Source organism: Homo sapiens, chromosome 11 (assembly GCF_000001405.40).
Source record: "Homo sapiens chromosome 11, GRCh38.p14 Primary Assembly".
NCBI lineage: Eukaryota > Metazoa > Chordata > Mammalia > Primates > Hominidae > Homo > Homo sapiens.
In genome coordinates this window covers 61157369-61168789 of record NC_000011.10, presented here as the reverse complement: position 1 = coordinate 61168789, position 11421 = coordinate 61157369, and the positions used below count along the sequence as shown (strand labels likewise).

Sequence of the window (11421 nt, the reverse complement as noted above, 5' to 3'; positions counted from 1 at the left end):
CGACCTGGGTTGGCAGGGAGCTCTACTCCTCGCAGCCATGCAGGGACTCAGGCTGACGGATGCTCTGTCCTGATGCAGGGGAAGGAGATGGGTGAGAAATGGGACTCTGGTTCCTAAAGGCTTCTACCTGGAAGTGACACATGTCACCACCTCTGCTCACATTCCATTGGTCAAAGTAAATTTGACCAATGGGGATGGGTGGCGGGGGGATGAGGGTGGGAGGGGGATAGTGGTTTGGAAGAGGGAGGGGAAGTGTGGTTCTGCTGCTGTGGTTATGAACAGCAACAATGGCCACACCCTTCATCCATGTGCTCATGCCTCACTCACCTTTGGTTCTCCCCACCCCTGCCCTAAGCCTCTTTTGGCCAACATACGCAGAGTTGGATGAGACTATACAGGAGGACATGCACTAGGCTGTCAATAAGCAGGGGAACCAACCAAACAACCAAAGAAAAAAAAGAAAAGAAAACATCCCCAAACTATGCTTAACCATGTTTATAATCACAATTTGCATTTATGCATGATTATGTATATGTGCATTTTTTTTTTTTTTTTTGAGACACGGTCTTGCTCTGTCACCCAGGCAGGAGTGCAGTGGCTCGATCTCGGCTCACTGCAACCTCCGCCTCCTGAGTTCAAGCAATTCTCGTGCCTCAGCCTCTGGAGCAGCTGGGATTATAGGCCCCCACCACCATGCCCGGGTACTTTTTTGTATTTTTAGTACAGATGGGGGTTTCATCATGTCGGCCAGGCTGGTCTCAAACTCCTGACCTCAGGTAATCCACTCGCCTCGGCCTCCCAAAGTACTGGAATTACAGGCGTGAGCCTGTAATAGTCTGTGCTTTTTTTTTTGGCAGCCTGAGCAGACTAAGACACACAGTAACTGTGTGTAGTAGTATCAGGTTTAAGTTTAGGTGCACATTATAGAAAACCTGAAATAACCACAACTTTAAAAAGAGAAAACTTATTTTTTCTCCCTTAAATAAATCTGCAGATAGGCTGTTCAGTTTGAACGCTTTCCATTTCCAAAGTCACCTCATAGTCCAATATGGCTGCAGGAGTTCCAGCCAGCACTTCTGAAATCTAGTAAGTACTTAGAAGGCGGGGGAAGGCAAAAAGACTCACACCCCAGCTGAATCAGCTCCTTTAAAGCAGCCTTCCAGGAAATCCCCCTCAACACTCCTGCTTATATCACAGTCACCTAGTCACAACTAACAGCAAAGGAGGTTGGGAAATGCAGTCTTTTAGCTGACTGGACACATTGCTATCCTGAATGAAATGTACTGTTTTTAAGGAAAAACAGAGAACGGATAATTTTGTAGGCAGCTGCCAGCCCCTACTTCAGAGGCAAATCCATTGTCTGGATTGTGCAGGCTGAATGGCTCGGCACAGCGTGGGAGCCACAAGGAGGAAGCAGAAGTGAGAAACCAGGCTCTCCCTCGCCCTCGCCCTCGCCCTCTCCCTCTCCCTCTCCCTCGCCCTCTCCCTCTCCCTCCTCGCCCTCTCCCTCTCCCTCTCCCCACGGTCTCCCTCTCCCTCTCTTTCCATGGTCTCCCTCTGATGCCGAGCCGAAGCTGGACTGTACTGCTGCCATCTCGGCTCACTGCAACCTCCCTGCCTGATTCTCCTGCCTCAGCCTGCCGAGTGCCTGCGATTGCAGGCGCGCGCCGCCACGCCTGACTGGTTTTCGTATTTTTTTGGTGGAGACGGGGTTTCACTGTGTTGGCCGGGCTGGTCTCCAGCTCCTAAACGCGAGTGATCCGCCAGCCTCGGCCTCCCGAGGTGCCGGGATTGCAGACGGAGTCTCGTTCACTCAGTGCTCAATGGTGCCCAGGCTGGAGTGCAGTGGCGTGATCTCGGCTCGCTACAACCTCCACCTCCCAGCCGCCTGCCTTGGCCTCCCAAAGTGCCGAGATTGCAGCCTCTGCCCGGCCGCCACCCCGTCTGGGAAGTGAGGAGCATCTCTGCCTGGCCGCCCATCGTCTGGGATGTGAGGAGCCCCTCTGCCTGGCTGCCCAGTCTGGAAAGTGAGGAGCGTCTCTGACCGGCCGCCATCCCATCTAGGAAGTGAGGAGAGCCTCTTCCCGGCCGCCATCCCATCTAGGAAGTGAGGAGCGTCTCTGCCCGGCCACCCATCGTCTGAGATGTGGGGAGCGCCTCTGCTCCACCGCCCCGTCTGGGATGTGAGGACCGCCTCTGCCCGGCCGCGACCCCGTCTGGGAGGTGAGGAGCGTCTCTGCCTGGCCGCCCCGTCTGAGAAGTGAGGAGACCCTCCGCCCGGCAGCCGCCCAGTCTGAGAAGTGAGGAGCCCCTCCGCCCGGCAGCCACCCTGTCTGGGAGGGAAGTGGGGGTCAGCCCCCGCCAGGCCAGCCGCCCCGTCTGGGAGGGAGGTGGGGGGGTCAGCCCCCCGCCCGGCCAGCCGCCCCGTCCGGGAGGTGAGGGGTGCCTCTGCCCGGCCGCCCCTACTGGGAAGTGAGGAGCCCCTCTGCCCGGCCACCACCCCGTCTGGGAGGTGTACCCAACAGCTCATTGAGAACGGGCCATGATGACAATGGCGGTTTTGTGGAATAGAAAAGGGGGAAAGGTGGGGAAAAGATTGAGAAATCGGATGGTTGCTGTGTCTGTGTAGAAAGAAGTAGACATGGGAGACTTTTCATTTTGTTCTGTACTAAGAAAAATTCTTCTGCCTTGGGATCCTGTTCATCTATGACCTTACCCCCAACCCTGTGCTCTCTGAAACACGTGCTGTGTCCACTCAGGGTTAAATGGATTAAGGGCGGTGCAAGATGTGCTTTGTTAAACAGATGCTTGAAGGCAGCATGCTCGTTAAGAGTCATTGCCACTCCCTAATCTCAAGTACCCAGGGACACAAACACTGCGGAAGGCCGCAGGGTCCTCTGCCTAGGAAAACCAGAGACCTTTGTTCACTTGTTTATCTGCTGACCTTCCCTCCACTATTGTCCTATGACCCTGCCAAATCCCCCTCTGCGAGAAACACCCAAGAATGGTCAATAAAAAAAAAAAAAAAAAAAGTGAGAAACCAGCCAGAGAGATCTGACTCCCAACTCTAGAGATAAAAAGATAAAGTAACTCTTCACTGGCAATCATCTGAAGACCAAACTAGAGATTCTACATGCCACATAGCAAAACTTCCTTTAAAAACTGCTCTTCCGGCCGGGCACAGTGGCTCACACCTGTAATCCTAGCATTTTGGGAGGCTGAGGTGGGCAGATCTTGAGGTCAGGAGATTGAGACCATCCTGGCTAACACGGTGAAATCCCATCTGTACTAAAAATATTAAAAATTAGCCAGGCGTGGTGGTACGCGCCTATAGTCCCAGCACTGGGGAGGCTGAGGCAGGAGAACTGCTTGAACCCGGGAGGCGGAGGTAGCAGTGAGCCGAGATCGTGCCACTGTATTCCAGCCTGGGTGACAGAGCGAGACTCTGTCTCAAAAACAAACAAAAAACCCCCAAAACAACAACAAAACTGCTCTTCCAACCCAGTTCCCAAATCTCTCGCAATACCTCAGCTTCTCAAATGTCTCATTACCTCGAACTCTTAACTTCCTTGTCTTGTCTTCCTTACTTGTTTACGTTACCTGTCCGTCCATTCAACCAGTATGACAAGGTCCAGGGCTGAGCAGCTGAGCAAACAAGCAAGCAAAGAAGCAAAATGAAACCCTCACTTTTTAGAAGGGGGTAGAGAGGCAATGCAATGTATATACTTCAACGTAGTGTCATATTTTTTGTTCCTGATCAGGGTCATTTGAAGGATTGAGTTATCTTGGGCTAGAGATACTTTGTTTTCTCTCCAATCTCAACCAAAAATGTGACATCCTTGAGGCTGGAGAGGGTATCTGTTCATCTGTGTATCCGCAGGTCTTAGCAGTGTGGGTATTCAGTGAATGCATGTGGAATGAACAAAGGAATGAAGTGAATGTGAGAAACAGAGTAAGGTACCCCCTTCTGTAACTGGGGTTGTTTGTGTTTATAACTTCTTAAAAATTTTGCATTAATCAGGGCCACTCCACTTATGAATGAAATTGGGTGTAATTGAGGTATAGAACGTGGGAACATAGGTGTATGTGTGATAAGAGACCAGGACTGGAGGAGGGGCTAGAGCCAAGGGAAGTTGCAAAAGGCCCAAAGTCGAAAATAGCAGGAACCAAATAGAAAGAGCACCCTTTTTCCCAATGCCACTTCCCTCCCATGACTTGAATTTCCTGCAATTTTCTCTTCCTCCCTCCTTCGTCCTAATTCTCTATCTTTGGTTATTCAGGAGGGCCAGCACCCTGTGGCCCCAGAAGATAATGTGGCAACGACTTAGGACACGGAGAGAGAGCGTAGGCAGCAGTGTGTCATTTCCCCTCAACACCCTTGGTAGAATCATCGTGTCTGTCACATTCACAAGTTCTTCTTCTTCTTTTTTTTTTTTTTTTTTAGCGTTAGCAGTTTCCAGCATCTGCATAAAATGATGTATAAAATAGAGTCTCTGCCTGTCCTTAGAGAAGTTACTATCTAGGGGGAGTGAAAGGTCAACTACAGAAAAGTGTAGAGAATGCTAAGAAAGGGCTGAAGGGTGGGGTGTTTGAATAACATACAAGGGGGGAAGTTACCCAGTCTTAGGATATAGGGGCTTTCCAGAAGTAGAGTCTAAGACTTAAAGGGCACAAGTGACAGAAAATCCAAAACAACAGTGACACGAGGTGGTTTATTTCCCTCTCACACAGAGCCCAGAGGCAGCCGTCCAGTGGTGTCATGGTCCTTTACGGAATCAGGGCTCAGGTTCCTTCTATTTTGTTGTGCCACTAGTGTGGCCTCTATTCCTATGGTCGCCTCATGGTTCAAGATGACTACACTTGCTCCAGCCATCATGTCCATGTCCCACCTTCCAACATGGTACTAATCAGTGAAGAGATTGCTGGATATAAACTCAAGCTAATCCATCAATAGTGTTTCCTAATTATTTTCCTTCAGAAATGAAACACATGCAGAGTTAAAAATCACATAGCAGCTGGGCGTGGTGGCTCACGCCTGTAATCTCAGCACTTTGGGAGGCCGAGGTGGGTGGATCACCTGAGGTCAGGAGTTCGAGATCAGCCTGGCAACATGGTGAAACCCTGTCTCTACTAAAAATACAAAGACTAGCCGGGTGTGGTGGTAGGCGCCTGTAATCCCAGCTACTTGGGACGCTCAGGCAGGACAATCACCTGAACCCAGGAGGCGGAGGTTGCAGTGAGCAGAGATCACACCATTGCACTCCAGCCTGGGCAACAAGAGAGAAACTCCGTCTCAAAAAAAAAAAAAAATCACATAGCACAAAAAGGCTTATGACAAAAAATTAAGGTCATCTGCCCTGGCCCTCCCTAACCCTCAGAAACAATTTCAACCTAGCTTTCAAACAGGTGCTGTCAATGGGAGTCACTCTGACATTCTGTACCAAGTGAAATGTTTGCAAAACCAACATGCCCCCGCTCAAAGGAGTCACCAGTGTCTCAGAAGGGTCAGCAGCTGACCTTCTTCATGGACCCCTTCTGTTATAAGAAGGAGTTTTGACAAATTCAGTTTGACAGAGTTTAATTGAGCAAATAATGATTTGTGAATCAGTCAGCCCCCAGAACCAGAATAGGTTCAGAGTGACTCTGAGGCTGCCAGGTGGTTGGATAACATTTAGGGATAGAAAACGGAAAGCAGGTTGGGCGTGGTGGCTCATGCCTGTAATTCCAACACTTTGGGAAGCCGAGGCTGGAGGATTGCTTGAGTCCAGGAGTTCCAGACCAGCCTGGGCAACATAGCGAATCTCCATTTCTATTAAAAAATAATCATTAAAATTTAAAAATAAGAAAAGAAAAAGGAAATAGATGTCCAGAAAACAGAAGCGAGGTACAGAAACAGTTGGACCAGTTATGTAAGCGCAGAACCAGCCCCATCTGGTTCAACTTTGTGTAATAAAGTGGTGAGTTGTTTTTTCAGTTGCCATGATCCCAGGTTGCAAGTTATGTAACCTGAGCGTGCCCAGAAGAACCAAGCATGCAACCACAGGCGCAACCTAAATGCTCAGACCAAAGAACCGGAACAGAATTAAGAAGTAGATACATGGTATAAGCCATGATCTAATCAGATTGAGCCATGGCATCATCCCATGGCAAGATCCAGTCAGATCATTGCTTATTGCAAGATTCAATCAGATCACTGCTCATTACCCTCTGCCTATAACACCTGTCACAGCCCCTGGCTTGGGGAGACAGATTTGAGCATGTCTCCTTCCCAGTTGACTTGCAACAAATCTTTCCCTCTACAAAAACCTGATACTTCGGTGTTTGGCTTTCTGAGGGCAAAGGGATCCAGTTTGGTTCCCTACCAATGACAGATTGACATTTGCCTTATTGGAACAAGGTTTGAACAGGTGGCTGCCTGTGATTGGCTGAAACTCTGTGATTGGTATGAGTAGGATCCAGTTCACTATGTACGGAGAAACCTTTAGGACAAACTTAAGATACGCCAGGAGACAACTTTAGGCTAAACTGGACACTTCTCCCCTTTTGGTCAACCTCTTGATTTTGAGAGGTTGGAAACTTTAGACATTGACATCAGTTACCATTGTAAATAGACTTATTTGGTCTCAAATTCCCCTGGGAAATAGCAGAGCAGTGGGTTTCATAGGTGGGAAAGGGAACAGAATAGAAAAAAAAAAAAAAACACCTGATTAGTTAACATCAGGTCACTTCAGATTCCTTTTTTTAAGGGTTAGAGCAGAGGGGGCTTCCTTATTATGCTGGACTCTCCTGTTTCCAGGGGGGAAGGGAGGAGATGGGGAATACTGGTAATTCTGTAGAATGAATGGGTGGGGGAAAGAGATTAACTAGTAAATGGAAATGAGTGTGTGGTGGCCTTGGGGCTCCTCAGTCTGAGCTCAGCCCATCTGGGGCTCCTCCTAGGTTCTGGGCTTCCATCTGCTTCCCCCTCCTTTTGGGTCCCTCTGAGAAGCCTCCCAAGATCGAGCTGTGTACAGAGCGAGTCCTCGCTGGCCACTCGGAAGGCGGCGGACGTCCGCGCCGGCGCACTAGCCCAGAGCGGCCTGGTCTCCGCCCAGTGGGCGGGGCCTCTTACCGGGGGCGGGGCCGAGGCGTGCGGCGAGCGCTGGAGGGGTCTCGTGGGCGCTCCCGTGGTTGTGGCCCGGGCGGCCGCGAGCGTGTGTGTGTGGCACGATGTCGTGGTAACTCAGAGGCGCGCGAGGCGGGGCGGCCAACGGGGTCGCGGGGCGAGCACGCGCGCCACTGGGGCGCCGGACGTTGCAAGGGGGTCACATCCGGTAGGGGGCGGGCCTGGCGGACCCCGGAAGTGTGGGCGCGGCTGCGGTTTAACCCGCGGTGGCGGCGGCGACGGCGGCCCTGGCAGGTGAGCGGAGACTGGGGAGGGTCCCGGCTCTGCCGCAGGCGGGCGGGGCAGAGGACGACGGTGGGGGCGGCGCCGGCCGTGGCTCCCGGAGCGCCCCCGCCTGCCCGCCTCATCCTGGCAGAGGCCGGTGATTGGGCACGAGGGGCGCGTGACTCTCGCCGGGGGCCGGCGCCCCTGCCCCTCGCGGTGGGAGGGAGGGAGGGAGAGCGCGAGGCGCCGCCCCGGCTCCCCGGCGGGTCGCACCTCCAGTTCCGCCCCACCACTCACCGCCACCCTCCTTTCTGCGTCTCTGCAGGCCCTCGTCCCATATGTGAGCATCTTGCGGTCACAATTCTGATGACATTAGAGCCAATTAGCCCATTGTATAGATGGGGAAGCTGAGGCCTAAGAGTAGGGTCCGACTTGCCAGAGGGCACGCGGGAGACGAGTGGCAGAGGGGAGGTTGGAGGGACTTTGCTCTGTGACTTACTGGCTTGTGCCCTTTCTCCAGGGCATTGAGAGATGGGAGTTTCAGCTTTGGCTTTGTTCAGGACTCAGACTTGGACCTCCCAGCATCACTGAACATTTCTTACCCCGGGACCCTCTGGGCGCAAAGGGCACTGATGTATACATACCCATTATATGCCTGGTTCCTCTTCATTTCCTCCTCAGCCGATGAGGCGATTTCCCACTTTACGGATGGGAGAAGGAGTTAACTGGAGGTGTTTTGTGAGTTACTGGCAGAGTGGACTCTACAACCTGGGGTTTTAGTCGCTGAGCTGAGGCAGTGCTTTCCCAGCTACACCTTGTCTGGGCTCACTTACCCTGGGAATGTCAGTCTTCAGCTCCAGAAACTTCCCACTCATTTCCCTTCGCTCCAGCGGTACCTCAGTTCTCTTGCTGCCTAAGGCCTTTTCCACCCTCTTTATTGGCTCCAGGAGTCCCATTTCCTACTAATGCACCAAGATGCTGCCACCAGACTCTCAGTTCTGTGACTTTTGGCCTTAGAGCTGGAGGTGGTGGTGACCGAGGAACTGGGGAAAGAAAGACTCTTACTTTGTTGTCCAAAGCTGCAACCCTGCAGACACCTGAACTCTGTAGTTCCGGGTGGGATCGGGGACTGTTGCAATGAAAATACTGGACGCTAAACTGAGTCTTTGTTCTTTGCGGTCATAGTGCCCAGAAAAGCCTTTTACCTAGATTATCTTGGAAATGTGGTTCCGTGCCTTTGTAATTTCCATTAAGTAGAACATTTTCATTGTAGACTTTCTGAGCAGTTTCTGGCCGCTGTTTTGCAGGTAGCAATAGCTGTGATTTGTTGCTTGGCTTCATATGCTGGGCACTGTTCTAGGGCTTTCTGAACATACCGAATTTTGCGAACATGTCCAAATAGGTGATGATCCCGTTTTACAGATGAAGTGAGTTGCGGAGATGTTAGATAACCTGGCTAGTGTCACACAGCCAGTAAGTGGCCAAGTTTGGATTTTTTTTTTTTTTTTTTTTTTTTTTTGAGACGGAGTCTTGATCTGTCGCCCAGGCTGGAGTGAAGTGGTGTGATCTCAGCTCACTGCAACCTCCGCCCCCTGGTTCAAGCGATTCTCCTGCCTCAGCCTCCCAAGTAGCTGGGATTATAGGTGCCCACCACCACGCCCGGCTAATTTTTGTATTTTTTATTTATTTATTTATTTATTTTTTTTTGAGACGGAGTCTCGCTCTGTCGCCCAGGCTGGAGTGCAGTGGCGGGATCTCGGCTCACTGCAAGCAATTTTTGTATTTTTTAGTAGAGACGGGGTTTCACCATGTTGGCCAGGCTGGTCTCGAACTCCTGAGCTCAGGTGATCCACCCGCTTTGGCCTCCCAAAGTGCTAGGATTACAGGTGTGAGCCACTGCGTCTGGCCACAAGTGAGATTTGTAACCCATCAGTCTTATTTCGAAGTTAATGTGCTTTTAACTCTGTGATACTGCCTCTCAGACCGTTTAGTTTCCCAAAGGTGCTGGACCTTAAGAATAATTTCTGATGCTTGTTAAAAATACAGAGCTCCACCTCTAGAGATTCTTGGGCTATTGTCTGGAGGAGGGCCCAGAAATCTATTAACAAATGCACTGGGTGATTCTTACGGTAAGGCAAGTTTGGGAAACACTGCCTTTAAGAACTTTGTAGATTTGCTGGGCCACTGGTAGCTTGGAAGTGACATTATTCCTGAGGATTCTTGTTTTCTTTTTGTTTATTGCTTTGAAATTTGTTAATTTGCCCTTAAAAAGCCTTTGGGTTAACTAGCCATATGAATCATTTCTGGACACTCTTGGCCAGTAATAGTAGGGGTTTTCCAGGCTGACAAAATTAGATCACTCAAGACCTGATTTAATGGATTTAGCTCTTTTAATCCAGCTGGATCTCTGTTGTGTGGAAATTCTGTTAGAAGTGTCCTTGAAGGATGTGGCGTTTCCACAAGGTTTTGGTCTGTTCCCAGGTGCTTACCGAATGACAGAGAGGTGTCTAATGGCAGCACTGTCTGAGGTTTTGCTAGCTGTAAAGGCATGTTTACTTAGTAGGTGCTCCTTCCAATTCATATCTCACCTCTTTATCTTCCTTTACTGGTTTATGTGAAAGACTTAAGCAAATATCAAACAGGTTTGTCTTGATTTAGCTGGGGCTGACAAGTAGGACCCCTGGGGCTTAGGATGGGCTGGAGAGGAGAGAGAGTCTCCCCAGTGAACCTCAAACAGATAGCTCAGGCAGGTAGGCCCTACCTTTGAAGACCTGTTAGTATTTTTAGTTCCGCTGATTTATCTGGTCCCACCTCAAGCAGGATTACAACTAGTCACGGATAAAGTCAGCATTATAGGATTACTTTATTCTCCTATCTGGTAAACACTGATTTCTAATTTATTTTCTTTTAAATAGAGAACATACTTCTCTATTAAATTTGCTGAGACTTCTTCTGTGGTCTGTCTTGGTAAATGTTCTGTGAGCACTTGAGAAGATTGCATCTTCTGCTATTGCCGGGTCAAGTGTTCTATAACTTTCAATTCAGGCAGGTTGGCTTGTAATGTTCAAGTCTTCTGTGTCCTTACTGATTTTTGGTCTTCCGTTCTTTCAGTTATTGAGAGAGGGACATTGACACTTCTGATTGTAATTGTGGATTCGTCCATTTCCCCTTGTAGTTTTATCAATTTGTGTTTCACATGTTTTGAAGCTCTGCTGTTAATTGCATAAACCTTTATGAGTATTATATTCCGTGTATGAATTGACCTTCTTTATTGTATTGCATTAGTCTGTTTTGCATTGCTATAAAGGAATACCTGAAGCTGGATAATTTATAAAGAAAAGAGATTCATTTGGCTCACGGTTCTACAGGCTGTACAAGAAGCATAGTACCAGCATCTGCTTCTGGTGAGGACTCAGGAAGCTTTTACTCGTCTCAGAAGGTGAAAGGGGAACAGGTGTGTCACACAGCCACAGAGGGAGCAAGAGAGATGCCAGGCCCTTTTAAGCAGCCAGCTCTCATGTGAACTAAGAGAGCAAGAGCTCATTACTGTGGGAGGGCACCAAGCCATTCATGAGGGATCTGTCCTGTGACCTAAACATGTCTCACTAGGCCCTACCTCCAACATTGGAAATCAAATTTTAACGGATTTGGAGGAGACAAATATCCAAGCTGTATCATTGATCATGAAAAGACCCTTTTAGCCCCCGGAAATAGTCTTTGCTCTGAAATCTACTTTGTCTGATATTAGTATAGCTAATTCAGCTTTAAAAAAATAGTGTTAGGAATTGATTTCCAGAGTATGTAAAGAACTTCTACTACCCAACAACAAAAAACAACCCGATTCAAAAGTGGGTGAAGGACTTGAATAGATATTTCTTCAAAGAAGATACACAAATGACCAATAAGCACATGAAAAGATGCTCAACATCACTAGTCATTATGGAATGCAAATCAATACCACAGTGAGCTACCACTTCACCCATTAGGATGGCTATTGAAAAAAAACAACAACAGTAAATAATAAGTGTTGACAAGGATGTAGAGAAATTGAA

General features: G+C 49.2%; 1 protein-coding gene across 4 annotated transcripts in view, besides 8 other annotated features; it reads left to right on the top strand.

Annotated features, from left to right (window-relative positions):
• Window positions 1476-1625: a silencer, noted in NCBI's record as "silent region_3386". NCBI's record gives its function as "represses an Ori minimal core promoter by ATAC-STARR-seq in GM12878 lymphoblastoid cells {active_cell/tissue: GM12878}" and the evidence as "EXISTENCE:reporter gene assay evidence [ECO:0000049][PMID:35858748]".
• Window positions 2478-3155: an enhancer, noted in NCBI's record as "NANOG-H3K27ac hESC enhancer chr11:60933107-60933784 (GRCh37/hg19 assembly coordinates)". NCBI's record gives its function as "activates a minimal SCP1, AML or CMV promoter by ChIP-STARR-seq in primed H9 embryonic stem cells {active_cell/tissue: H9 hESC(primed)}" and the evidence as "EXISTENCE:reporter gene assay evidence [ECO:0000049][PMID:30033119]".
• Window positions 6715-7307: an enhancer, noted in NCBI's record as "H3K27ac hESC enhancer chr11:60928955-60929547 (GRCh37/hg19 assembly coordinates)". NCBI's record gives its function as "activates a minimal SCP1, AML or CMV promoter by ChIP-STARR-seq in naive and primed H9 embryonic stem cells {active_cell/tissue: H9 hESC(naive and primed)}" and the evidence as "EXISTENCE:reporter gene assay evidence [ECO:0000049][PMID:30033119]".
• Window positions 6715-7901: a biological region, named in NCBI's record as "H3K27ac hESC enhancers GRCh37_chr11:60928361-60928954 and GRCh37_chr11:60928955-60929547".
• Window positions 6775-6914: an enhancer, noted in NCBI's record as "active region_4794". NCBI's record gives its function as "activates an Ori minimal core promoter by ATAC-STARR-seq in GM12878 lymphoblastoid cells {active_cell/tissue: GM12878}" and the evidence as "EXISTENCE:reporter gene assay evidence [ECO:0000049][PMID:35858748]".
• Window positions 6925-6974: an enhancer, noted in NCBI's record as "active region_4793". NCBI's record gives its function as "activates an Ori minimal core promoter by ATAC-STARR-seq in GM12878 lymphoblastoid cells {active_cell/tissue: GM12878}" and the evidence as "EXISTENCE:reporter gene assay evidence [ECO:0000049][PMID:35858748]".
• Window positions 6965-7724: a silencer, noted in NCBI's record as "silent region_3385". NCBI's record gives its function as "represses an Ori minimal core promoter by ATAC-STARR-seq in GM12878 lymphoblastoid cells {active_cell/tissue: GM12878}" and the evidence as "EXISTENCE:reporter gene assay evidence [ECO:0000049][PMID:35858748]".
• Window positions 7308-7901: an enhancer, noted in NCBI's record as "H3K27ac hESC enhancer chr11:60928361-60928954 (GRCh37/hg19 assembly coordinates)". NCBI's record gives its function as "activates a minimal SCP1, AML or CMV promoter by ChIP-STARR-seq in primed H9 embryonic stem cells {active_cell/tissue: H9 hESC(primed)}" and the evidence as "EXISTENCE:reporter gene assay evidence [ECO:0000049][PMID:30033119]".
• The window catches only part of VPS37C (VPS37C subunit of ESCRT-I), a 31170-nt gene continuing 27112 nt past the window's right edge, over window positions 7364-11421 (top strand). For 2 of the 4 annotated variants that reach the window (NM_017966.5, XM_047427178.1), the window contains exon 1: window positions 7364-7399. The gene's annotated coding sequence lies outside the window, so the exon portion shown is untranslated. Of the gene's footprint in view, window positions 7400-7519; window positions 7710-11421 lie in introns of those variants that run through there. The other 2 variants (XM_005274077.4, XM_047427179.1) reach the window with 2 other exon arrangements.